Source organism: Homo sapiens, chromosome 12 (assembly GCF_000001405.40).
Source record: "Homo sapiens chromosome 12, GRCh38.p14 Primary Assembly".
In the NCBI taxonomy this organism is placed as follows: Eukaryota; Metazoa; Chordata; class Mammalia; order Primates; family Hominidae; genus Homo; species Homo sapiens.
Genome location: NC_000012.12, coordinates 51,720,824 through 51,748,643, shown reverse-complemented (window position 1 = coordinate 51,748,643; position 27,820 = coordinate 51,720,824). Strand labels below are relative to the sequence as shown.

Genomic DNA, 27,820 nt, shown 5'->3' with positions numbered 1-27,820 from the left:
CCTGAGAATCAATAATGTCAAGTACTTCCTTGATATTAAAAATCAATAATGTCAAGTACATCACTACTTCCTCTTTCTTACTTCACCACGATCTCCCCTTCTCCCACAGCTTTACTGCTTTGAAGAGTGAGACTATACTACTCTACCTACACCCCACGCCCAGTCCTCTGAAATATCCCCAAAGCTTATAGCTCTGCTAGTGGTGAACTCTACTAAATGTGCTGGATCCTGGTAAGCATGTTTGCAATAGGAATGGGGTGGGGCAGAGCAGGCAGGGTTTTCTAATTATTGACAGGATTCTAGAATTCTCCACTGTGGTTTCTAAACTATTAGGTAAGTCGTAGCCTGCCTCTTGGGTTTTAAATAATAATTATTTTAATCTTTGGATTAAAATAATGTCAAAGTTTCCTAACTGAAAGTCTGAGAGCAAGAACTACAATTCGTTCAATGCTGGCTTTTAATGCTGTAGCAAGCATTAAATACAGAGGGACCAATGGTTAAACAGACATGGATGTTTCATTCCCTCTTACGTGATTCCGGTCAGCCATTCATTGCTCTTTGCTTATAGCAGTTCTGTCCCATCAGCTTCAACAAAAGGGTCAAATACAAGGGGAGAGGTTAGGCGGAATGCCTGAGCAGGAAATGGCAGGACAGGTATAACTATGTGAAAATCAGGGCTTAGGAAAGAGGACAAAAAACTGGAATAATATTTTCCTATTCAGGAACACAACTACATCTGTCTCTGTCTCCTGAGCTACCCTTACATCTATTTTTTTTTTTAATGTGTGTGATGGTGGGTAAAGGGTGGAGAATAAGCACAGCAGGACAGAAAGAGAAAGAACAGGGAGAAGAGGCAGAAAAGAGAATTTTAAAACGTCCCAATGGTTTGTATCCAACTCAGTAAAGGGATGAAAGCTCTAAGGCCTCCGAAAGGAGCCCTGCAGCACCAGCACTCCTACCATTCTAAGCACAGCCAATGCCTGCTTGACAAAGATTGTTTGAGCATCTACTTTTGCTGGGACCTGTGCTAAGCCAATGCAGTAATAAATAAATAACTGTTGCACTGTATTGATAGTTCTGCTGTTCTGATGTCTCTACCAATAATAAAATGCACCTGTTGGAGGTTGTTAGTTTTTCTTTCTCAACTGCCACAGATACCCAGAGAAATCCTGTCTTGGTCTCTATGTGAATAATAAAATTAGCCAAAGTTCTTAGGCTAGGATTTCTTAGCTTGGAATTCTTAGGACCTGCAGTTATTTGCCCACAATCTCAAAGTATAAGCTACAAAGCTTGAAGATGTTCTATCAGACAATAACCCCGATGGTAATTAAAGAAAACAGGAATAAACAGAGGTTGTTAAGGCAGATGAAAGCAGTTAATTCATTTTTTTACTTGAGATATTCTCAAGGTCAGTCTAGTTATAGTCTCATTCTTTGCACATATGTGGGGAAGTAAGCACCCTTAGAGAATTCTTTTCTAGGGACTCTCCCTCCACTGCAACCCCCTCCCCAACACACACACACACACACACACACACACACACACACACACACATACACACAGAGTAGAAGTGGCACTGGGTTTAAATGACTAAAAAAATAACTTGTCTCAAGGATACTGGGACCATTTTGAGTTTTCCTGTCTCAGGGACTTTGGTTATTCCAGGCATCTGCATTCTGAAGAATAGCAATTTGAGGCCTCAAGAATAGTCTAGATCTACAATGAGACAACTCAGCTAAATCAACATAAATCCAATGAAGAAGATAGGTGCAGAATCCATCAGAATCTTGGGAGAGGAAATCTGTCACTGAATTTACCTCTAAAGAAAGCATGCAGATCCTGGACTACAGACCATAACTGGAGAGGAGCTGATTCTTGCTAGGGGGACTGTGGCCTAATGGAAAATCTTCAGGTATTCCTCAGCACGCCAGGTTGTGTCACAGAGAACCCACCTAACACAGAGAACTCAGGCACTGACAGCAACATTACTGCAGACGTGCTATGATTCAACAGCGGTTGCTCTTTCCCTGTGGCATGGAGCACTCAAAGTAAGAAGGGTTTCAACTTACCTAGTCACACATCAAATTTATTTATGGATATGTGGGGGTGTTTGAAGAGAGACAGAACTAGGTGCAATCAAAACGCACAGTACATTCTTCCTTAAGGGAAAACCAAAAGGGCTGTAAGTAGTTAAAAAGGAAAAAGGAAGGTATGTTTTGGGGTAGAGACCATGAGGGAAATTCTATGATTTTGTATCTTTGCAGTTCTTCAGTCTACATTCCTTTATGCCTTACAGCACCCCACTGACTCCTCATGATGACAATGACAGGGGTCTTGAGCTCCTCTAGGTCACTCATGCAGGTCCTTTCCTATCTCTTACGTACCTGTGTACAATGCTGGCAGCATATCTGAAGCCCATATATTTGATTCTCTGCATGTAAATTTAGGAAGAGAATTTGTGATTCTAGTTTCTATATAGGAATACGTTCCATTCCTAAAGCTCAGAGACAGTCTTTGCAAAACTCAGACCAAGGGACAGGGATTATATTTACCATGCACATTACATATTTATATCTCAGCGGTTGGACTGACATTATAGGGCACATACCTTCTACTAGTGTATTTGTAACAACACTCATTATACTGTTGATTCTGTCCTTCCGCCCGTAGGAGGCTAATTGGTCCATGGAAACTAAAAGAGATCCAGGGCCTTTCTTCTTAATTTCCACCTCAGTTGTAGCCTTTAAAAAAAAAAAAAGAAAAGCAAATAGAGTGAGTTAAGTCTATAAAGGTAAATCTGGGCCTTACTTGATACACAGTCCAGTGTGTGATCTTCATTACAGTCTTTAACTTTGATCCTACAGTCCTATTCACTTCAAGAAGTAGAATGAAATGAATTGGCTATGGTTCATCCTTATTTCTGTGGGTGATAAGATGAAGTCATTTAAGTCTGTGTGAATCTACAATGACCCCAAGAATCTGGCTGGGACCCAAACATCTCACCTGGTTCATTCCAAGCATAGAGTAGAAAGACCAGATCCTCCTGGGGTACTGTCATCCGAAGTAGACCCTGAGTTTTCTGGTCCTAATCTCAAATCCACAATATTTGGCTAGAATTGGTCCACATGACGAAGTAAGTCAAATTTACTTCTATTTGAAATTTCATTAAAGTCAAGTCCCTGATCACACTAAGTATTATAGATGCTGTTTCTTCCTTGAGTAGGAGCACCATTATTCTAATAAACTGCCTCTTCCAAATACCAAATCTGGGCCTAACTGAATATTAGCAAGTTGAAGATCTGCTCCAGATCTCCTACAAGCCATTGTAAGAAAGTACAGAAAGGTTTTGCTATCTTAATTAAATATATTGTATCCTATGTTTATCTTGCCCTTTCACAGTTTTATGAGTTAACCTGCAATGTTCAAATTCCCAATAAAAAATGGCAGAAAGTATAATCAGATTGTTATAAAAAATATGATTACATGCTCCACCCTGGACAATAACTGGTATGGTAGATTACAGCAAAGGGTTTCTTCATGTCCCTGACTTACGTTCTTGTGACTATTCCACATCAGTTCAGGCTTAATGGGGTGGCTTAAAACTAATCCAGCTCTTTAGTAACCATGTTGTTCACTGTACCATATCACCCATGTAGACTTGGCTCTACCTTCTAAGATGGTGAAGGTAAGAGGACAGAGACAATCAGCAGCCCTCAGAGGACAGGGGAGATTGTATGAGGCTGGAGAAGCATATGTCTGATCAGTAAGAGAATGATCCTAGCTGTTTTAAAAAGAAAATAATTACCTCTGGAGAGCTACATCAAAAAGCCCATCTGTTCTAAACATCTTCAGATTTTAAGGACTGAACAGAAGAAAGTTCCTAGCAGATTACGATTTATCTTATCAAAGTGTTTCATTAGCCTGTAGTCCCAGCTACTCAGGTGGTGGAGGCGGCAGGATTACATGAGCCCAGGAGTTAGAGACCATCCTGGGCAACATAGAGACCTCATCTCAAAAAAAAAAAAAAAAAGTGTTTCATCAGACCGTTTCACTGATTCAGATTTGGATCAGTGACCTTGGGGTCTTGTTTGTTTTGTTTGTTTGGCAAAGCTACAGAAGAAATACAGGAAAAAAAAAACCGATTTCCCTGGGAATTCCTTGCTGCATTACTACACTAACATCTGTGTATGTAAGAATGACTTGTGGTGGTGGCCACAGGAAGAGGCTTCCTGCCTGTGGAAAAAGGAGAGAAGAGCAGGAAGGACTTTGTATTGTGGTTTGAGTGCCAGCATAGCTGCAGAATAGAACATCAGGCAAATCTCTAAGGTTTTTTGTTTTTGCTTTTTGAGAGTCTGCTCTGTCGCTCGGGCTGGAATGCAGTGGCATGATCTCGGCTTACCGCAACCTCTGCCTCTGAGGTTCAAGCAATTTTCCCACCTCAGCCTCCTGAATAGCTGGGATTACAGGCATACACAAGCACACCCGGCTAATTTTTGTATTTTTTAGTAAAGACAAGGTTTCGCCATGTTATCCAGGCTGGTCTGGAACTCCTGGCCTCAAGTGATCCTCCCACCTCAGCCTTCCAAAACGCTGGGATTACAGATGTGAGCCACCATGCCCAGCTAAAATTTAATTTTATTTAAACAAATACTTATTGTTTGCTAAGTGGTGTGGATACAGTGGCGAACAACACATACAACATGGTCCCTGTCCTCTTGATGGGTTTCACCATGTTGGCCAGGCTGGTATCAAACTCCTGGCCTCAGGTGATCCACCCACCTTGGACTCCCAAAGTGCTAAGAAATCTCTAAGGCTTTTTGCTCCAATCCCTGGCTTCCGGACAACATGTCTGTACCCACCTGGGACCTGGGGGAACTTGCTGCCCTGAAGGGGAGGATACAAACCTGGCTGGCTTCACCACCTGCTGACTATAGAGCCCTAGGGCCCTGAGTGAACACAGGTGGCAGCCATGTAGTGGTTACAGCGGGCCTTGGGCGAGACCCTGTGCTGTGCTGGCTTCAAGTCTGACCCAGCAGTCTCAGCAGTAATGGCCAGAGGGGTGCTTACATCAACACACTCCAGTTCAAGGTGGCTCAGCACAGAAAAAGAGACTCCATTTGTTTGGGAGAAAGTGAGGAAAAAGAACAAATCTTTGTCTCGTAATCCAGAGAATTCTTCCAGATCTTTATTATCCAAGACCACCAAGGTGGTATTTCTATGAATCTGCAAAAACCACAGCATTATTGGACTCGGGGCTCAAATTCCTTCGAATACCTAGAAAGCCTTCTGAAGAAGGACAGGCACAAACAAGCCCAGATTGCGAAGACTATAAAAAATACCTAGCTTGTCAATGCCCAAACACCAACAAACATCTACAAGCATCAAGATCATGCAGGAAAACATGGCCTCACCAAAAGAACTAAATAAGGTACCAGGGACCAATCCTGGAGAAACAGAGATATGTGACCTTTCAGACAGGGAATTCAAAAGAACTATATTGATGAAACTCAAGGAAATTCAAGATAACACAGAGAAGGAATTCAGCATTCTATCAGATAAATTTAACAAAGAGACTGAAATAATTATAAACAATCAAGCAGAAACTCTACAGTTGGAAAATGCAACTGAATACTAAACAATGCATTAGAGTCTCTTAATAAGAGAATTGATCAGACAGAAGAAAGAATTAATGAGCTTGAAGACAGGCTATTTGAAAATACTCAGAGGAGACAAAAGAAAAAAGAACAACAACAACAACAAAACGAAGCACACCTGCAAGATCTAGCAAATAGCCTCAAAAGGGAAAATCTTAGAGTTATTGGCCTTAAAAAGGACGTAGAGAAAGAGATACGGATAGAAAGTTTATTCAAAGGAATAATAACAGAAAACTTGCCAAACCTAGAGAAAGATATCAACATTCAAGTACAAGAAGATTATAGAACACCAAGCAGATTTAACCAAAAGAAGACTACCTCAAGGCATCTAATAACAAAACTCCCAAAGGTCAAGGATAAAGAAAGGATCCTAAAAGCAGCAAGAGAAAAGAAAAAAAAAAACATACAATGGAGCTCCAATAAATCTAGCAGCTGGCCTTTCAGTGAAAAACCTTACAGGCTAGGAGAAAGTGGTAATGATATATTTAAAGTGCTGAGGGAAAGAAACTTTTACCCTAGAACACTATATCCGGCAAAAATATCCTTCAAGCATGAAGGAGAAATAAAGACCTTCCCAGACAAGCAAAAGCTGAGAGATTTCATCAACACCAGACCTGTCCTACAGGAACTGCTAAAAGGAGTTCTTCCATCTGAAAGAAGAGAGGATGTTAACGGCAAGAAGAAATCATCTGAAGATACAAAACTCACTGGTAATAGTAGGCATACAGAAAAACACAGAATATTGTAACACTGTAATTGTGGCATGTAAACTCCCACATACCATAATTACAGTGTTATGATAAGCCAATATAAATAATAACTACAACAACTTTTCAAGACATAGTACAATAAGACATAAAGAGAAACAACAAAAAGTTAAAAAGCAGAGGGATGAAGTTAAAGTGTACAGTTTTTATTAGTTTTCTTTTTGCATGTTTGTTTATGCAATCAGTGTTAAGTTGTCATCAGTTTAAAATAATGGGTTATGCCAGGTGCAGTGGCTCACGCCTGTAATCCCAGCACTCTAGGAGGTCGAGGTGGGCGGATCACCTGAGGTCAGAAGTTTGAGACCAGTCTGACCAACATGGAGAAAGCCCGTCTCTACTAAAAATACAAAATTAGCCGGGCGTGGTGGCACATGCTTGTAATCCCAGCTACTTGGGGGGCTGAGGCTGGAGAATCACTTAGGAGGTGGAGGTTGCAGTGAGCCGAGATCACACCATTGTGTTCCAGCCTGGGCAACAAGAGTGAAACTCTGTCTCAAAAAATAAATAAATAAAAATAAAATAAAATAATGGATTATGAGACATTAATAATATTTGCAAGCCTCATGGTAGCCTCGAATTGAAAAACACACAACGGATACACAAAAAATAAAAAGCAAGAAATTAAGTCATACCACCAGAGAAAATAACCTTCACTAAGGGGAAGACAAGGAAGGAAGGGAAGAAGTAAAAGAAGACCGCAAAACAACCAGAAAACAAATGACAAAATGGCAGGAGTAAGTCCCAACTTATCAGTAATAACACTGAATGTAAATAAACTAAACTCTCCAATAAAAAGACATAGAGTGGCTAAATGCATGAAAAAATAAGACCCAATGATCTGCTGCCTACAAGAAACACACTTCACCTATAAAGATACACAGACTGAGAATAAATGGATGGAAAAAGATATTCCATGCCAATGGAAACCAAAAAAGAGCAGAAGTAGTAGCTATACTTACATTAGAAAAAATAGATTTTAAGACAAAAATTATAAGAAGAGACAGAGATCGCTAGTACATAATGATAAAGGGGTCAGTCTAGCAAAAGGATATAGCAATTATAAATATACATGTACCCAACACTGGAACACCCAAATATGTAAAGCAAATATTATTATAGCTAAAGAGATAGACCTCAGGCTAGGCACAATAGCTCATGCCCATAATCCCAGCACTTTGGGAGGTCCAGGTGGGTGGGTTTCTGGAGCCCAGGAGTTTGAGACCAGCCTGGGAAACATGGCAAAACTCTGTCTCTACAAAAAAATACAAAAATTAGCCAGGCATGGTGGTGCATGCCTGTAGTCCCAGCTAATCAGAGGGCTGAGGCAGGAGGATCACTTGAGCCTGTAAGGTTGAGGCTGCAGCGGGCTGAGATCGCACCACTCCACTCCAACCTGGATAACAGAGCAAGACCTTGTCTCAAAGAGAAAGAGACCTCAATACAATAACAGTTAGAGACTTCAACACCCCACTTTCAGCACTGGACAGATCTCCCAGACAGAAAATCAACAAAGAAACACTGGACTTAACCTACACTAAGGATGACCTAATAGAACAAATGGACCTAAGAGATATTTACAGAACATTTCATCCAAAGGCTACAGAATACACATTATTGCCCTTAGCACATGGATTATTCTCAAGGACAGACCATATGTTAGGTCACAAATAAGTCTTAAAATACTCAAAAAATTTGAAATATCCAGCATTTTTTACCACAATATCAAGCATCTTTGAATAAAACCAGAAATCAATAAGAGGAATTTTGGAAATGATACAAACACATGGAGATTAAATACGCTCCTGAATGACCAGTGGGTCAAAGTCAATGAAGAAATTAAGAAGGAAACTGAAAAGTTTCTTGAAACAAATAGCAGAAACACAACATAACAAAACCTATGGGATACAGTGCAAGCACTAGTAAGAGGGAAGTTTAAAGCTATCAGCACCTTGTTGGGAGCAAGCCCCCCAAAATCTGGCCATAAACTGGCCCCAAAACTGGCCATAAACAAAATCTCTGCAGCACTGTAACATGTTCATAATGGCCCTAACGCCCAAGCTGGAAGGTTGTGGGTTTACGGGAATGAGGGCAAGGAACACCTGGCCCGCCCAGGGTGGAAAACCACTTAAAGGCATTCTTAAGCCACAAACAATAGCATGAGCGATCTGTGCCTTAAGAACATGCTCCTGCTGCAGTTAACCAGCCCAACCTACTCCTTTAATTCGGCCCTTCCCTTAGTTTCCCAAAAGGGATACTTTTAGTTAATTTAATATCTATAGAAACAATGCTAATGACTGGTTTGCTGTTAATAAATACGCGGGTAAATCTCTGTTTGGGGCTCCCAGCTCCGAAGGCTGTGAGACCCCTGATTTCCCACTTCACACTTCTATATTTCTGTGTGTGTGTGTCTTTAATTCCTCTAGCGCCACTGGGTTAGGGTCTCCCTGACCGAGCTGGTCTCGCGCAAGTGGCGTCCATTCGTGGGGGCTCAAATCCAGGTCAAAGGGTTGCTGAAGCGATGCTTGGAACAGAAAACTAGCTGGAGGACACCCGAGTACTCTTAAAGCAGTCCCCATGGTGAGTAAGAAGGGGAGCTCGGATGCCTCAGGGTAACAATGGGACAGGGATGGGGTCTGGTTCGTTTCACCTTAGAACTTTTTCACACTGATAATGAGGAGGAACAAGAGAATAGTGAAGTAACAGAAGAGGTTACAGAGCAGGTTTATTTGCCAGCTAAAGCTAAAGTGGCAAAGGAAGGAGAGGTTCATCCCTACCCTTCTGCACCCCCTCCTTATTATTTTGAAGAAAATGACCCCCCGGATCTTTCTTTTCCGGAGGACATTGGGCAAAAAGTAGTTGCCCCAGTGACTCTTCGAGCGGCACCTCGAGTGACGGCTCTTAGTTCTATTCAGGCAGGAATTCAGCAAGCTATACGAGAGGGTGATTTAGAGGTTTGGCGGTTCCCTGTTAGAACAAACCCCCCAGATCAACAGGGAAATATTACAGCTACATTTGAGCCTTTTCCTTTTAAATTACTCAAAGAATTTAAAAAAGCTATTCATACTAAAAAAGAATGTAGAAAAAATCAGCAAGTCAGGCCGCCAGATAGAGGAAAAAGGAAAACTGTTGAGTCTGAAATAGGTCCAACATATAAAAAAAGGAAAACACTGGACTAGTCAGTGTCACTCTAAGTTTGATAAAGATGGGAACCTGATTTTGGGAAACACCATGAGGGGCCTGTCCCGGGCCCCATTCTAAACCAGGGCATTTCCAGCTCAGGCCATTCCCTCACCCCTGTACAATGTCTGTCCCCCACCACAGCCGGTAGAGCTGCAGTAGATTTATGCTGCACAAAAGCTGTGAGCCTTCTGCCTGGGGAACCCCCGCAAAAGGTCCCAACAGGAGTCTGTGGACCCTTGCCAGCAGGGACAATAGGATTACTTCTAGGAAGGCCTAGTTTAAGTTTAAAAGGCGTACAAATACATACAGGAGTCATTGATTTAGATTACAATGGGGAAATTCAAATTGTTATATCTACTTCTGTTCCCTGGAAAGCAGAGCCAGGAGAGCGCATAGCACAGCTCCTGATTGTGCCATATGTGGGAATGGGAAAAAGTGAAATTAAACGAACAGGAGGATTTGGAAGCACAAATAAACAAGGCAAAGCAGCTTATTGGGTAAATCAAATTACTGATAAACGTCCTACCTGTGAAATAATTATTCAGGGAAGGAAATGTAAAGGTTTGGGAGATACAGGAACGGACATTTCAATCATTTCTCTATAGCACTGGCTGTCCACGTGGCCAATTCAATCCGCTCAACTGAACATAGTTGGAGTTGGTAAAGCCACTGAAGTATATCAAAGTAGTTATATTTTGCATTGTGAGGGGCCCGATGGATGACCTGGGACTATTCAACCAATTATAACTTCTGTACCTATAAATTTATGGGGAAGAGATTTATTACAACAATGGGGAGCACAAGTTCTAATTCCAGAACAATTATATAGCCCTCAAAGTCAACATATGATTCATGAAATGGGGTATGTCCCTGGTATGGGACTAGAAAAAAATTTGCATGGTTTGAAAGAACCGCTTAAAGTGGAAAAACAAAGTTCCCACCAAAGATTAGGAAATCATTTTTGATGGCGGCCATTGTTAAGCCTCCAGAACCTATACCTTTAAAATGGTTAACAGACAAGCCAATTTGGATAGAACAATGGCCGCTAAGTAAAGAAAAATTGGAGGCTTTAGAGAAATTGCTTGCTGAACAATCAGAAAATGGGCACATAGCGCCAACATTTTCCCCTTGGAATTCTCCAGTTTTCGTAATTAAGAAAAAATCAGGTAAATGGAGAATGTTAACTGACTTAAAAGCCATCAATTCCTTTAACAGTCATAGATTTAAAAGACTGTTTCTTTACTATCCCTTTAGCTGAGCAACACTGTGAATGGTTTGCATTTACAATTCCTGCAGTAAACAACCTGCAGCCTGCTAAGTGTTATATGATCACTTACAAAATTCAATTTCTCGTGCTGGTTTAATTATAGCTCCTAACAAAATTCAGACTACTACTCCCTACTCCTACTTGGGGACCTGAGTAAATGACACTACCATTGTGCCACAAAAAGTAACCATACGTAGGGATCAACTAAAAACATTAAATGACTTTCAAAAATTACTAGGGGATATTAATTGGATACGACCTGCTCTAGGCATTCCTACCTATGCCATGAGTAATCTGTTTTCTATCCTTAGAGGAAATCCTAGTCTCACTAGCCCTTGGCAATTAACAAAGGAGGCAGAGGCAGAGTTACAACTAATTGAGAAGCAAGTCCATAAAGCTCAAATAAATAGAACAGATCCAGAGAAGACCCTAGATTTGCTAATTTTTTCAACTCAGCATTCACCTACTGGTGTTATTGTCCAAGAACAGGACTTAGTAGAGTGGCTTTTTCTTCCACATACTAATTCACGGACTCTAACTCCTTATTTAGATCAAATTGCTACAATGATAGGGATTGGGAAAACTCGGATTGTTAAATTACATGGATATGATCCTGGAAAAATTATTGTCCCTCTCACGAAGGCACAAATACAGCAAGCTTTTATAAATAGTCTTACTTGGCAAACCCGTTTAGCTGACTTTGTGAGTATTCTCGATAATCATTTTCCTAAAACGAAGCTGTTTCAGTTTTTTGAAATTAACTAATTGGATTCTCCCTAAAATAACTAAATTTAAACCAATTGAAGGTGTTGAGAATGTTTTTACAGATGGGTCTCGTAATGGTAAAGCTTCTTATTTTGAATCAAAAGGTAAAGTTTTTCAGACGCCCTATACTTCAGCTCTAAAAGCGGAGCTTGTAGCTGTAATTGAGGTATTGACTGCTTTTGAAATGCCTATTAATGTGATTTCTGATTCTTCATATGTGGTTCACTCCACACGGTTAATTGAAAATTCTCAGTTACGATTTCATACAGATGAACAACCGATGACTTTATTTACCCAACTGCAAATAGCAGTTAGGAGTAGAATGCACCCTTTTTACATCACTGACATTAGAGCTCATACACCTCTTCCAGGACCTTTGACTGAAGGGAATTAAATGGCTGATGGCCTAGTTGCTATTGCAATATCTAATGCTGGACACTTTGACAATTCAACCCATGTCAATGCCTCTGGTCTCAAATGCAGATATAGCATTACCTGGAATGAAGCTAAAGCTATTATCCAGTGATGCCCAACTTGCCAAATGGTACATTCCTCATCTTTTACAGGAGGAGTTAACCCTCGAGGACTGTAACCTAACTCTATTTGGCAAATGGATGCCACACATGTTCCCTCGTTTGGGAGACTAGCTTATGTACATGTATGTGTGGACACCTTTTCTCACTTTGTCTGGGCTGCATGCCAATCAGAAGAGTCTTCTGCCCGTGTTAAATGTCACCTTTTGCAGTGTTTTGTGGTGATGGGCTTCTATTAAAACAGAGAATGCCCCAGGCTATACTAGCCAAGCTCTAGCTACATTTTTCTCTATGTGGAATATTAAACACATTACTGGTATCCCATACAATTCTCAAGGACAAGCCATAGTGGAAAGAATGAATCTCTCTCCCTAAAACAGCAGTTGCAAAAGCAGAAAGGGAGAGACAGAGAATACTGAACCCCCACAAATGCAACTGAACCTAGCATTATTAACTTTAAATTTTTTGAGCCTGCCCAAAGGCCAGATGCTATCAGCAGCTGAACAGCATCTACAGAAACCAGCTGCAAAGACAGAAACAGAACAACTGATTTGGTGGACAGAGCCAATAACAAAAAGGTGCGAAATAGGTAAAATAATAACTTGGGGTAGAGGTTATGCTTGTATTTCTCCAGGCCAAAATCAACAGCCGATTTGGATACCATCAAGACACCTGAAACCTTATCAGGAGCCAGATGCCGAGGAAGAGACTCCAGGAGGATCCCGAGGACCCCCCGGTTGCAGCCATGTCGAGACCGATGCTGAGGAGGACCCCAACAGTTACGAGCAACACCCGTCAACCACAGCCACCCACCTGGGGACAGATCAAGAAGCTGTCAGAGATGGAGGAAGAAAACCTGAGGAAAGCGGGACAACCAGTCACAATGAATAATTTAATGGTAGCTATGATAGTGGTTATCACCACTGTCGTGAGTATTCCTTCAATAAGGGCCGGTAATAATGCCTGGATGCAATCACTCTATGACACAGTTACACATGCTTTCTGATCTCGGTATTTACCATAATAAATCTGCTCCTATAATTGAGGCATACCACCCTCAAAAACCTATTTGTAAACAGGATTGGACCCAGTTAGAAAAAATGAACGTACTTGTTTAGGAAGATTGCTTTGCAAAACAGGCAGAGGTGCTGCACAACGATTCCTATGGAATCATTATTAATTGGTCCCCTAAGGGAATGTTAAGCTTGAATTGCACCTCTCAGTCTGCGTGCCATGGCCAGACTATGTTCAGATGATCTGAACAAACTGATCACATGGTAGAAATACCAAAAAGTACGGCAAAAGTTCCTATTATCTGGAACCATGGTGGTATAGTGGCACCTCAACCTCAAATGATAGGGCTCGTTGTGGGAGCTAAACATAAGGATTTGTGGAAACTATTAATAGCTCTTAATAAGATCAAAATTTAGGAAAAAATAAAAACCATCTACAAAGACACTCTACAAACTTGCCTTTGGATATTGCAAAATTAAAGAACAAATATTTAAAGCATCCCAGGCACACCTGACCTTAATGCCAGGAACTGGAGTGCTTAAAGGCGCTGCAGACAAATTAGCAGCTAGTAATCCATTAAAATGGATAAAAACACTTGGAAGCTCTGTGATTTCAATGATGACTGTGCTTTTAATCTACGTTGTTTTTCTTTGTATAGTCTGCAGATGCAGATTCTGACTCCTGCAAGAAGTAGCTCACTGTGACAAAGCCGCCCTTGCTTTTATCTCTTTGCAAATCAAAGAAGGGAGACACGTTGGGAGCAAGCCCCCCAAAATCTGGCCATAAACTGGCCCCAAAACTGGCCATAAACAAAATCTCTGCAGCACTGTAACATGTTCATGATGGCCCTCACACCCAAGCTGGAAGGTTGTGGGTTTACAGGAATGACGGCAAGGAACACCTGGCCCGCCCAGGGTGGAAAACCGCTTAAAGGCATTCTTAAGCCACAAACAATAGCATGAGCGATCTGTGTCTTAAGGGCATGTTCCTGCTGCAGTTAACTAGCCCAACCTATTCCTTTAATTTGGCCCTTCCCTTCTTTTCCCATAAGGGATACTTTTAGTTAATTCAATATCTATAGAAGTAATGCTAATGACTGGTTTGCTACTAATAAATATGTGGGTAAATCTCTGTTTGGGGCTCTCAGCTCTGAAGGCTGTGAGACCCCTGATTTCCCACTTCACACCTCTATATTTCTGTGTGTGTGTGTCTTTAATTCCTCTAGCGCCACTGGGTTAGGGTCTCCCCAACCGAGCTGGTCTCAGCAGCACTGACATCAAAAAAGAAGAAAAACTTCAAATTAATAACCTAATGGTGCATCTTGACTAGAAAAGGGCAAACAAAACCCCAAATTAGTAGAAGAAAAGAAATAATAAAGATCAGAGCAGAAATAAATGAATGTGGAATGAAGAAAATACAAAAGATCAATGAAACAAGAGGTTGTTTATCTTTTGGAAAGATAAACAAAATTGACAAACCTTTAGCCAGACTAATGAAGAAAAAAAGGGAGAAGACCCAAATAAATAAAATCAGAAATGAAAAGGGAAACATTACAACTGATACCACAGAAATTCAAAGTAGCATTAGTGGTTACTATGAGCAACTACATGCCAATAAATTGGAAAATCTAGAGAAAGTGAATAAATTCCTAGACACATTCAACCTACCAAAACTGAACCATGAAGAAATCCAAAACCTGAACAGACCAATTAACAAGTAACAAGATCAAAGCTGTAATAAAAAGCCATTTAGTAAAGAAAAACTCAGGACCTGATGGCTTCACTGCTGAGTTTTAACCAACATTTAAAGAAGAACCAATGTCAATCCTATTTAAATTATTCTGAAAAATAAAGGAGGAGAGAAACTTCCAAACTCATTCTATGAGGCCAGTATTACTCTGATACTAAAACCAGACATGGAAATATCAAAAAAAGAAAACAACAGGCTAATATCTCTGATGAATATTGATGCAAAAATACATTTCCAAAAAAACCCCAACAAAATACTAGCAAACCAAGTTCAACAACACATTAAAAAGATCATTCATCATTACCAAGTTGGATTTATCTCTGGGATGCATGAAAGGTTCAACATATGCAAATCAATCAGTGTGATACATCATATCAACAGAATAAACAACAAAAACCATATGATCATTTCAATTGACGTTGAAAAAGCATTTTATAAAATTCAACACCCTTCGTGGTTAAAAACCCTCAAAAAACTAGGTATTGAAGGACCATACTTCAATATAATAAAAGCCATATATGACAGACTCTCAGCTAATATTATACTGGATAGGGAAAAACTGAAAGCTTTTCTCTAAGATCTGGAACACAACAAGGATACTCACTTTCACCACTGTTACTCAACATAGTACTGGAGGTCCTACTTAGAGCAATTGGACAAGAAAAAGAAATAAAGGGCACACAAATCGGAAAGGAAGAAGTCAAATTATCCTTGTTTACAGGTGATATGATTTTATACTGAGAAAAATCCAAAGACTCCACCAGAAAACTCTTAGAACTGATAAATTCAGTAAAGTTGCAGGACATAAAATCAACATACAAAAACCAGAAGCATTTCTATATGCCAAAGGTGGACAATCTGAAAAAGAAATAAAAAAAGTAATCCCATTTATAAGAGCCACAAATAAAATTAAATACCTAGTAATTAATAAAAGAAATAAAACATCTCTACAAGAAAACTATAAAACACTGACGAAAGAAATTGAAGAGGATGCAAAAAACTGGAAAGATATTCCATGTTCGTGGATTGTTCAATATTGTTAAAATGTTCATATTAGTCAAAGCAAGCTACAGATTCAATGTAATCCCTATCAAAATACCAATGGTGTTCTTCACAGAAACAGAAAAAAAATCCTAAAATTTATATAAAATCACAAAAGACCCAGAACAGCCAAAGCAATCCTGAGCAACAAGAACAAAACTGGAGGAATCACATTACTTGATTTTAAATTATACAACGGAGCTATAGTAACCAGAACAGCATGGTACTGGCATAAAAACAGACACACAGACCAATGGAACAGAATAGAGAACCCAGAAATAAATCCACACACCTACAGTGAACTCATTGTCAGCAAAAGCGCCAAGAATAAACACTGGGGAAAAGACAGTCTCATCAATAAATGGTTCTGGGAAAACTGGATATCCATATGCAGAAGAATGAAACTAGTCCCCTGTCTTTCACCATGTACAAAAATGAAATCAAAATGGATTAAAGAGGTAAGTCTAAGACCTCAAACCATGAAACTACTATAAGACAACATTGAGGAAACTCTCCAGGACACTGGTCTGGGTAAAAATTTCTTGAATAATACCCTACAAGCACAGCCAACCAAAGCAAAAATGGACAGATGGGATCACATCAAGTTAAAAAGCTTCTGCACAGCAAGGAAACAATCAACAAAGTGAACAGACAACCCAAAGAATAGGAGAAAATATCTGAAAACTATCCATCTGACAAGAGATTAGTAACCAGAATATATAAGGAGCTCCAAGAACTCTATAGGAAAAAACAGAATAATCCAATTTAAAAACTGGCAAAAGATTTGAATAGACATTTCTCCAAAGAAGACATATAAATGGCAAACAAGTATATGAAAAGGTGCCTAACATTACGATCATCAGAGAAATGCAAATCAAAACTACAATGAGATATAATCTCATGCCAGTTAAAATGGCTTTTAACCAAAAGATAGGCAATAATAAATGCTGGAGAGGATGTGGAGAAAAGGGAATTCTTGTACACTCTTGGTGGGAATGTAAATTAGTACAACCACTATGGAGAACAGTTTGGAAGTTCCTCAAAAAACTAAAAATAGAGCTACCTTACGATCCGGAATCCCACTACTGGGTATATGCCCAAAAGAAAAGAAATCAATATATCCAGTCGGGCGTGGTGGCTCATGCCTGTAATCCCAGCACTTTGGGAGGCTGAGGCAGGTGGATCACATGAGGTCAGGGGTTTGAAACCAGCCTGGCCAATATGGTAAAACCCCGTCTCTACTAAAAATACAAAAATTAGCCGGGCGTGGTGGCACATGCCTGTAATTCCAGCTCCTTGGGAGGCCAAGGCAGGAGAATCGCTTGAACATAGGACCCAGGTGGCAGAGGTTAACAGTGCAGTGAGCCGAGATTGTGCCATTGCACTCCAGCCTGGGCGACAGAGTGAGATTGTCTCAAAAAAAAAAAGAAGAAGAAAAAGAAAAAAGAAATCAGTATATCAAAGAGATAACTGCACTATCTGCACTATGTGCACTCCCAAGTTTGTTGCAGCACTGTTCATAACAGCCAAGATTTGGAAGCAACCTAAGTGTCCATCAATAGATGAATGGAGAAAGAAAATGTGGTACTTAGACACAACAGAGTACTATTCAGACATAAAAAAAGACTGAGATCCTGTCATTTACAACAACATGGATAGAACTGAAAGTCATTATATTAAGTGAAATAAGCCAGGCACAGGAAGACAAACATCACATGTTCTCACTTATCTGTGGGATCGAAAAATCAATGCAATTGAACTCCTGAGGATAGAAAGTAGAAGGATGGTTACCAAAGGCTGGGAAGGGTAGTGGGGAAGGGTAGCGGGGAGATGGAGGTAGTTAATGGGTACAAAAAAAATTGTTAGAAAGTAAGAATAAGAGCTAGTATTTGATAGTACAACAGGGTGACTGTAGTGAAAATAATTTAATTCTACATTTGAAAATAACTAAAAGAATATAACTGGATTGTTTGTAATACAAAGAAGAAATGCTTGAGGGGATGGATATCCCATTTTTCATGATGTGATCATTAAGCATTGCATGCCTGTATCAAAGTATCTCATGTACCTCATAAATATATATACTTACTATGTACCCACAAAAATCTGAAATTAAATAAAATTTTCTAAGGACATGCAAAGGCTCTAGAATAGGAAAATAATCTCTAGAGATGCTATTTAATAATCTTAAAAATATTATTTTTTGTTCTTAGGGCTTATACTACCACATTTCAAGAATTAAAGTTACAATACTCAAGACAAATGTATATTGGCATAAGCATAGACAAACAGATCAAGGGAACAGAACAGAGTCCAGAAATAGACCCACACATATACATCAATTGATTTTTGTCCAAGGTGCCAAGTCACTTCAATGGAGAAAGGAAAGTCTCTTGAACAAATGGTGCTAACAGACTGGATATCTATCCAGGTTGACTTGTATCTCATTTCACACACAAAAATTAATTTGAGATAAATTGGAGACCTGAATGTAAAACTCAGAACCATAAAACTTATAGAAGTAAAATATCTTCATGTTCTTGGGGGTAGGCATCCTTGAACAGGATGCAAAAAGCCATATCATAAAAGAAAAAAATTGATATACTGAACTTCATTAACATTAAACATTTTTATATTTGACTTGTATCTGGAACATAAAAAACAAATCAATAATAAAAAGTCAAAAAAGGGGCAAAAGATATGAATAAACAATTCATTAAAGAAGATGTATGAGAAACCAAAAAACATAGGAAAAGATAATTAGTCATCAGGAAATGCAAATTAATGGCACAATAAAACAACATTTTATATGCATTAAAATGCTAAAATCAAAGACTAACAACAGCAAGTTTGGCTAGGATGTGGAGCAAGTGTAACCCTAATACATTGTTGGTGGGATAAAAAAATGGTGTAACTATTCTGAGGAACTGTTTGGCAACTTCTTATAAATTAGACATACATTTACCATATGACCCAGGAATTTCACTTTGATGTATCTACCCAATATAAATGAAAACGTTTATGTTCTAAAAGAGTTTTATAAGAATGCTCATAGCAAGCTTATTCACACTAGTTGCAAACTGGAAGCAACCGGAACATCTATCGACAGGAGAATGAATAAACAAATTGGGATATGTTTATACAATGAAATACCACTCAGCAATAACAAGGAATGAACTACTGGTATATAAAACATGAATATGTCTCAAAAATATCTTGTTGATTGAAAGCAGTCAAATACAAATACATATTGTATGAGTCTACACATACAAAAGAAAACAAATCTATCTATAGTGATACGAGTCAGAAGTGGTTGCCTGAAGTGGAAGGAACTGATTAGAAACGGGTAGGAGAGTACTTTTTAGGAGAGTCTTATGGTAATGATGGGTTTAGGGAATGATCCTCAATTGCTCAGATAACTCCTTCTCCACCTCCTTTTTACCCACAACTTTGGTTAACTCTTGGGTGCGGCTTACCCAATGTCCTACCAGAATTTGATTATGCAGAATTCCTTTGAGAAGAAATATGGAATGCAAAAATATGGAGTATAAAATATGTATAAAATATTATCTGTATTGTGGAAATAAAGATCAACCAAATGAGAAAAGCAAACGCTATTTAGACCTTGCTATACTGAGGAAGTCCGCCACCATAACTGCCATTTGTGTTTTGGCAGAAACTCAAAGGCAGGCAGAGGAGTGGCAAAGATTTACAGGTGAGAAAAGGGAAGGCTTGAAATGTGGCTTGAATGGAGGCTGTTGGCATGGGGAAGCTGTAGTCAAGGTAATAAAAAGTGGGACATCTCGTGTGATGGGTTGGGGGGTGCATGTTTGGCTGTCTCTGGTTGAATCTAAGTTGAAAATGGGAACAAAAATTAAGGAAAGCTGTCAGTTATGAATCAAGTCCTGGCCATTTGGGAATTTTTTTTTTTTTTTTTTTTTTGGGAAACAGGGTCTTCCTCTGTTGCCCAGGCTGGAGTACAGTGATCACTGCTCACTGCAGCCTTGACCTCCCAGGCTCAAGTGATCCTCCCATCTTAGCCTCCCAAGTAGCTGGGACTAAAGGTGCGTGACACCACACCCAGCTAATTTTTTAATTTTTTTGAAGAGATGAGGTCTCACTATGTTGCCCAGGCTAGTCTCAAACTCCTGGGTTCAAGCAATTTTCCTGCCTCAGCCTCCCAAAGCGTTGGGATTACAGGTAAGGGCCACCATGCCTGGCTCTCATTAGGGGACTATTGTTACAGAAATTATTACTTAGCTTCCTGGATTGTCATCAGAGACAGCAACCTGGCTTCCTGCAAGTTTGACTTATAACAGGCTGGCTTCTTGGACTGTTTATTGTAGATAAGGGGGATGGTTTCTTGGGCAGGTCATGGGTCAACGTTCTATTTTTTTACATGGTCTAGTCATTGTCCATTTGTAGATGTCTCATAGTATTCATCAAAATAGGCTGATTCATGAAGAGAGAGAGGGCAAACATATATTCACCAGTGTTAACTAACATGACACAAACTAAAATTGTCTATGAAGGACATCACTAAAAGTGCTGAGAGGGGGCTAAGATGGTGTCTAGAGAACAATATATCTGTACTACCAGGAAAATCTAATCTGTTAAACTTAGGGTACACCAACACGGGTGAGCAGGCCCTCTTCCCTAAGTGAGGTTTTGAAAGCTGGGATTTCAAGGCTAGGTTCTTGGCTATTCTTTTTCTTCTTTTTTTTGAGAAAGAGTCTCGCCCTGTCACCCACACTGGAGTACAGTGGTGCAATCTTCACTCACTACAACCTCTGCCTCCTAGGTTCAAGTGATTCTCCTGCCTCAGCCTCTCGAGTAGCTGAGATTAACCATGCCTGGTTAATTTTTGTATTTTAGTAGAGACAGGGTTTTACCATGTTGGTCAGGTTGGTCTCAAACTCCTGACCTCAAACGATCTGCCCGCCTCAGCCTCCCAAAGTGCTGGGATTACAGGCATGAGCTACTATTTATGTTAAATCAGACAACTGAAGGGAAGAAAATCTGGAGGAGCCTCTCTCCCAGGTAAAGCAGCTTCACTGTCAGCTTCTCATAGTCAGCTTCCACCTAGAATTCTGCTTGGGCTTCCGTGAGATGTACCTTTGTTACAGGCTCAGCTGCACAATTCTCATCACCTGGCAGTGGGAAGAGGGCTTCTTCCAACTATGTTGAGATCCAAGGGCCAGAGGAAAGATCACATACCCTTTCCCTCCCCTTCTCTATCTTTTCAGTGTTTTTTGGTTTTTTTTTGCAAATGGAGGTGTATAGTTTTTTTGTTTTGTGTTGTGTTGTTGGTGAGTGGGGAGGAGAATTAACATTTTAAAGTTAGGAGCCTTGTATTTTTTTTTTAATTCAACCTGTAAGAAGCCTTGGAGGAAAAACCCTCAGTAACTGAGGAAGCAACTGAAAACCTTAAGTAAGTTCTTTGGAAGTTAAACCCCGTACAAGTTTGTTCCATTTCTCTTAACCCAAATGCTGTTTATTTGGGCATTTAGCCACTGACTTCCAACCTCCTAAATTACAGCAGTCCTTTTCAAAGAGATATCCTACAATAGCTGCAGATGGCAGATTCTGCCCACATTTCTAGAGATCTGCCCAAGGAAGTTTGACTTCTTATTGACTCTAAATTGTTTTCACATGGAAATACATAACTGGACGTTTATTAGCCAGTCACCTTTCTTGGAATTAAAACTTATGGCATTTTATAAGTATCCTTAGAGCCTAGCCATAATCCCCTTCCCAAGCCTTTCTCAAATTTGCATAGTGTTTTGCTTTAAAATAATTGTACAATAATTTCTCTTTCTCAAACAAAGGATTTTTAGAAGGAGCCCCACCTTCTCCAAGTCAAGCAATTCGGTACTGTTTACTTCTCAGAGCTATCAGGGCCAAAAATGTGTAAGAAAAGGAATGAAAATTGGCTTTCTGAACAGCAAGAATGGGCCACATAATATGCTTCACACTTTATATATGAAGCATATTATATATGAATAACATATATATGTTATAGTTTATCTTCACAATAGCCCTATAACAGAGGTCCTTTTATCTCTTTTTACAGAGAAGAAAATGGCTTAGAGAATTTCCCAGGATCATATGCACAAATACAGAACTTGGGCTTCAGAGTTAGTATATTGTAATGGTTAATGGTAAAAGCTTAGGAGTTAGATTGCTTGGATTCAGTCCTAACTCTACTGCTTACTGTGCCATCTTGGACAAGTTACTTTATTCCTCTAAGCCTTGGCTTCCTCTTCAGTCAGATGCAGCCAATAGCAGTATCTGTTTCATAAGGTCCAGGCTGTAAGCATTAAATGAGATAATGCTTATACATTTGCAAGCTGCCTCAACATGATTTCTCAATTGCATGTGATTTCTGGATTGCTAGTGGCAATGAGTGAAGAGAAATGATTCTCACCTACTTTCCCAGCTCAGAGATGGAGACGCAGGAAAAAGTCCCTTTATCTTCTGCTTCAGCAAAAAGCAAAGGTGAAATTCCAAAATGATCAAAAAATCTCAACACTCAATCACAACTGAATAACTAATGAAGATATAAAATAATTTTTGATGAGACTAATGAAGTGATGTCTGAATGTCTTTTTTTCTTACAGCCTATTTCTTAATTTAAGCCTGAAGGAAAAAATATAGATTTGGCATAGCCTAAGCAGGAATATTGTGTGAGACCAGTGCGTGCACTATCAGTGGCTCCTATGCCACTCTGTGAAGCGTGAGTATACACAACTGGATGCATTCTAATTGCTCAGGTTAATCCTTGGCTGTGGATGCATCCAAAATGTTTGCTAGTAACAATCACTAAATCCTAGCCCCAAGAGGTATTAATTTTCATCTGTCTTGGGCTTCTAGTTAATTTAAGAGATATTAAGCAATTAGAATCTCTTAATATTCATAATTAAATTTATAATCCTGAATAATATAAAAGTCTTAATATACTGTGTCCTTCTAAGATAAGTGACTGTTTTTCCCACTTTCTAAAGGAGCTAATATTTAAGCTGTCAGGAAGTTCCTTTTGGTATCAGAAAGACCATGGTTTAAGGTCCAATTCCCAAGTCACTACAGCGCTCTGAGTCTCATCTGCTAATAGGATAAAACCACCTACTGAATAGAGTGATTATAAGAATAAAATGAGATAATGTATATAAAATGCTCAGCATAGTATAATAAGAACTCAATATATGATGGCTATAATCATTATGCTCACTACAGAAAACCAGAAAGAACAGAAAAGTATAAGGAAGAAAAAAGTCCATAATTTCTTCTCTCAAAGGCAACTATTGTTAACTATTGGCTGGTCATCTTCTTTCTCTATGTAGTTTGTCTTTATATAATTTGGTATCATACCACACAAACTATATGCATCTTGTTTTGCTGTTTTCTTCCTTTGGGCCTATTAATGTAACTTAGACATTTTCCCACACCGTTAACAACTAGCCATAACAGTTTCTTTATGGCTTCTAATAACATAAATAAATACATAAATAAAAATAGTTTTTCCTAGTTATGAGGCCCTTGGGAATGATATGGTCTTGCCTACCTCATCTTCCTGCCACTGTGACCTCCTGACTTTGGGAATTCTCAAGTCTGTCACCATCCTCACTTGAGGTCACTACAGAGAACCTCCTAAGTGTTTATAGGGTGCTGGGTATGTAGATCCCCCAAAACCCAAATGCAGACCTTTATAGACCACAGTGTAAAGCAGTACAGAAAGCCTTACATTCCACAGCCATCTGCTTAACTGACTCTCAATTTTTTTCTCCCACACAGTGTAACAGAAGGTGCTAAAAAAACAAAAACAAAACCCCTAAACCTGATCATCTCTCTTCAGCTGAAGTTTAAGCTCCTTCTTTCTGAATACCTTCTCTAATACCTTTTTATTCAGAGAAAAGGCAAGCTGCATTATTTGGCTTAAATATTTTTAAAAACTGCCAGTATATCAAAATTCAATTTGGTTCTAAACATTTGAATTGCCCCAACTCTACTGCCCATGTTGATCCATCCTTCATTTGCCATTGATATTATCTCTTGTTTTTTCGGAGAACATAATTATCTAACTGTGGAGCCCAAAATTTATCCCTATTCGCAGAATTAGTGAAAGTCAAATAAAAATTAAATGTAAAGATAAGTATCTATAACATTTATTTTGGCCAACTATCTGGAGCCACTGTTTTTGTTTTGTTTTGTTTTGTTTTTTCTTTTTTGAGACAAGAGTGTTGCTCTTCTTGCCTAGGCTGGAGTGCAATGGCGCAATCTTGGCTCATTACAGCCTCCGCCTCCCAGGTTCAAGTGATTCTCGTGCCTTGGCTTCCCAAGTAGCCGAGATTATAGGCGCATACCACCATGCCTGGCTAATTTTTGTATTTTTAGTAGAGATGGAGGTTTTGCCATGTTGGCCAGCCTGGTCTCAAACTCCAGACCTCAGGTGATCTGCCCACCTCAGCCTCCTAAAGTGCTGGGATTATAGGCATGAGCCACCGTGCCCGGCCCACTGTTTATTATTGTTGTAAAAAGTGAAAGATTTATACAATCTAAAGAGAAACCAGAGGATTATTATTGTTCTTACTGTTGCTGATCTTAAATAAGTAGGTCTTGAGAAGAGCAACGGCCAAGTGTCTAGGCAGAGAACAAATTAAAATTAACTGGCACACGGAAGATTAGGGTCTCTGAGGGGTCTGAGATTCTGGCTCTATCAGTGATGAGCTGTAAGACCCAAAGGAACACAAATTCTCTGAACCTTCTCCCCATCTCAAAAACAGAAATATTAATCTTCACTTAGTCACCCTTACAGATTTTTTTTTTTTTAAGATGGAGTCTCGCTCTGTTGCCCAGGCTGGAGTGCAGTGGCGCAATCTTGGCTCACTGCAACCTCCCTGTCCCAGGTTCAAGCGATTCTCCTGCCTCAGCCTCCCACATCCGGCTAATCTTTTGTATTTGTAGTAGAGATGGGTTTCAAACCATGTTGGCCAGGCTTGTCTCGAACTCCTGGCCTCAAGCAATCCACCTGCCTTGGCCTCCCAAGGTGCTGGGATTACAGGCGTGAGCCACCACTCCCAGCCCAGAATTTTTATTTAGGACAAATTAAATAATGCATGTAAGAGTAATTTGTAGCTTATAAAAAGCTATACAAACATAAGGGGGAGAGTATTTTTGCTTTATTTTATTTTTGATAGAGTCTCACTCTGTCACTCAGGCTGAAATGTAGTGATCATAGCTCATTGTAGCCTTAAACTCTTGGGCTCATGTGATCCCCCTGCCTCAGCATCCCAAGTAGCTGGGACTATAGAGGCACATGCCACCATGCCTGGCTAATGTTTCTTATTTTTATTTTTTGTACAAACAGGGTCTCACTGTGTTGCCAAGCTGGTCTCCAACTCCTGGTTTCATGTGATCCTCTTTCCTTGGCCTCCCAAAGTGCTGGGATTACAGGTGCGAGCCACTGTGCCCGGCTGTATTTTGCTTTTAAATAAAAGGGAAGGGCGAGACTAGACAATCCCAAACACATACAAATTGCCTTTTGATATTTTATCTATACATTCAATAAACTTTATCCATGATTGTCCAGTTTTCCTCCATACATGCATCATGCTAATTAAAGGATTGGCTATCTTCATGCTGTGTTAGAAGAAACTGAAGTGTTAGAAAGAAATAGACTAACATGCTATCTCAAGGAGTTTATACCAGCTGAAGAGGGACTGAGGAAAGTTAGAAATTAGAGGTATGAAGGATTAGGATCACTAAGGTTATAAGAATTTTAAAATAAAAAAGATACAAACAGCTTAGAATTTAAAGAAATGTTAGGAGATGGCTCTTCCCAAAGAGGGGCACCATTATCCAAACCTCTAGATAACTGATTTTGTGAAGCTATTATATGCAACTCCTCCAGAGCCTGACATTTGATTACATTTAAAATTCATCTTTTGCTTCCCCTTTCCTTCCTCCCCCATATAAAATGTGTTCTTGCCCCAACCTCCCACTTTTTCCTCCTTTGATTTATTTCAATTTCAATCCCTTTTAAAAGTCTGGGTCCAGTTTCCTATTGGCCTCTTTAACTTCTCCTTGCCTGGCTCTGCTGGCACACACCTCCCACCCTGACATCACATGAGCATTCCTCTTTAGAAAAAGCACATCTCATTCTTGCAGAGGAGACTTAGAACATTATTCAAAACTCAATTACTTTTTTGAAATTTAAAGGATAAGATCTCTAAATTCCAAGCTGTTTCCCTAGGAGGGTAGAAGACGTGGGGGAAGAGAAGCAATGGTAGTTCCAAACCGGTTCAGACTTGGTCATTGGTGGTGGCTCCATGGCATTCTCATTCCATCCGGGCAGGCTCCGGGGCCAGAGGCATTCAGTCAAAGCAGGTGGGAGGAGGGAAACACAAGCACACAGACTAGCAAAGATAAAGATGGAGAGAAAGAAAACGGTAAAATAAAGGAAGGAGTTGATAGGGGAGAAGGAATGTCAGAAACAAGGAGGGAAGATGGGGAAAATGGAGCAAAGAATAAAGGAAAGGAGAAGACAGGGTGAGTAATAGGGGGAAAACTGAAGAGAGAAATAGAAATAGGCCAGGAAGAACACAGAAATGGCTGGGGTGTTAACAGGAGTGGGGTCCAGACAGACCAAGTGGGATGGGCAGAGCAGGGAAAGAGGAGGGGAAGGAGCGGGGGAGACTGCCATGCCTAGCCTCGATCTATTTGTGTTCTTCCTTACACTGTCATCGGTAGCTGCCTTATCAATTTTCACCTCTGGCAGGAGACGCCCGCCGATGTGGGAGCCGGGGCCGCCGATGAGGGACACCACGCCGTTGCAGTCCACCGTGCTGTTGCGCTTCACGCTGCGCCGCAGGCTGGGGAAGATGCGCGAGGAGCGGCTGCCCTGGCTGTAGCCGCTGTAGCCGCTGTAGCTGCTCCGGCGCTCGCGGGCCCGGATGGGGATGAAGAGGGAGTCCCGGCGGCCCTCGCTCTCCTCCACCGTGCTGTGCTCGTCATCCGCGAACTCATTCTCGGAGCCCGGGTCTCGGAACCGCCCAGGTCCCCTGAAACTGAAGATGCTGCTCTTGCTGTTGTGGCGGGAGAGGAAGGGCGAGCCTGGGATGCTGAGCAGTGACTGCAGGGGCAGACAGGGAAAGAGAGAGGGACGGGGAAATGAGACGGGAGTGTGGACCTTTATACTGAGCAAAGTGGTTAGGTTCCCAGCCGGCCCCACCCTCGCACTCCTGTGATCAGAACACAAGTGTTTCCAGAAAGCACTTCTGCATGTTGACTGCTACAGTTCATCACCCATTGTTACTCACCTGTGCTTGACCAGTTACGGATTCAAAACGTCTACCCACTGTTCTTGCACGCATCCCTAAGATGCTTTTATCTCACATTATACACAACTTATCCAGGGTAAAGCACATGGCTGTGTATTTCTTTTTACCATGGGCTCAGAGGAGGTGTCTTTAACTTCAGTTAGACTACGCCACACTGGGCAAAAAGAATTTATTTATTATCATATATATAACAATAAATAAATATTATATATATAACAATAAATAAATATTATATATATATATATATATATATATAATTTTTTTTTTTTTGAGATGGAGTTTCGCTCTTGTGGCCCAGGCTGGAGTGTGGTGGCGCTATCTTGGCTCACTGCAACCTCCAGCTCCTGGGTTCAAGAGCTTCTCCTGCCTCAGCCTCCTGAGTAGCTGGGATTACAGGCATCCACCACCACGCCCTGGCTAATTTTTGTATTTTTAGTACAGACAGGGTTTCGCCATGTTGGCCAGGCTGGTCTCAAACTCCTGACCTCAGGTGATCCACCCGCCTCGGCCTCCC

General features: G+C 40.2%; 1 protein-coding gene across 4 annotated transcripts in view; it reads right to left on the bottom strand.

Annotated features, from left to right (window-relative positions):
* SCN8A (sodium voltage-gated channel alpha subunit 8) overlaps window positions 1–27,820 on the bottom strand; it is a 221,632-nt gene that overhangs the window by 64,221 nt on the left and 129,591 nt on the right. For all 4 annotated transcript variants that reach the window (NM_014191.4, NM_001177984.3, NM_001330260.2 and 1 more), the window contains exons 12-13: window positions 26,736–27,098; window positions 2,609–2,741 (exon numbers count right to left, since the gene is read on the bottom strand). In NM_014191.4, the coding sequence (NP_055006.1) occupies window positions 2,609–2,741; window positions 26,736–27,098 (496 nt within the window). The remainder of the gene's footprint in view (window positions 1–2,608; window positions 2,742–26,735; window positions 27,099–27,820) is intronic.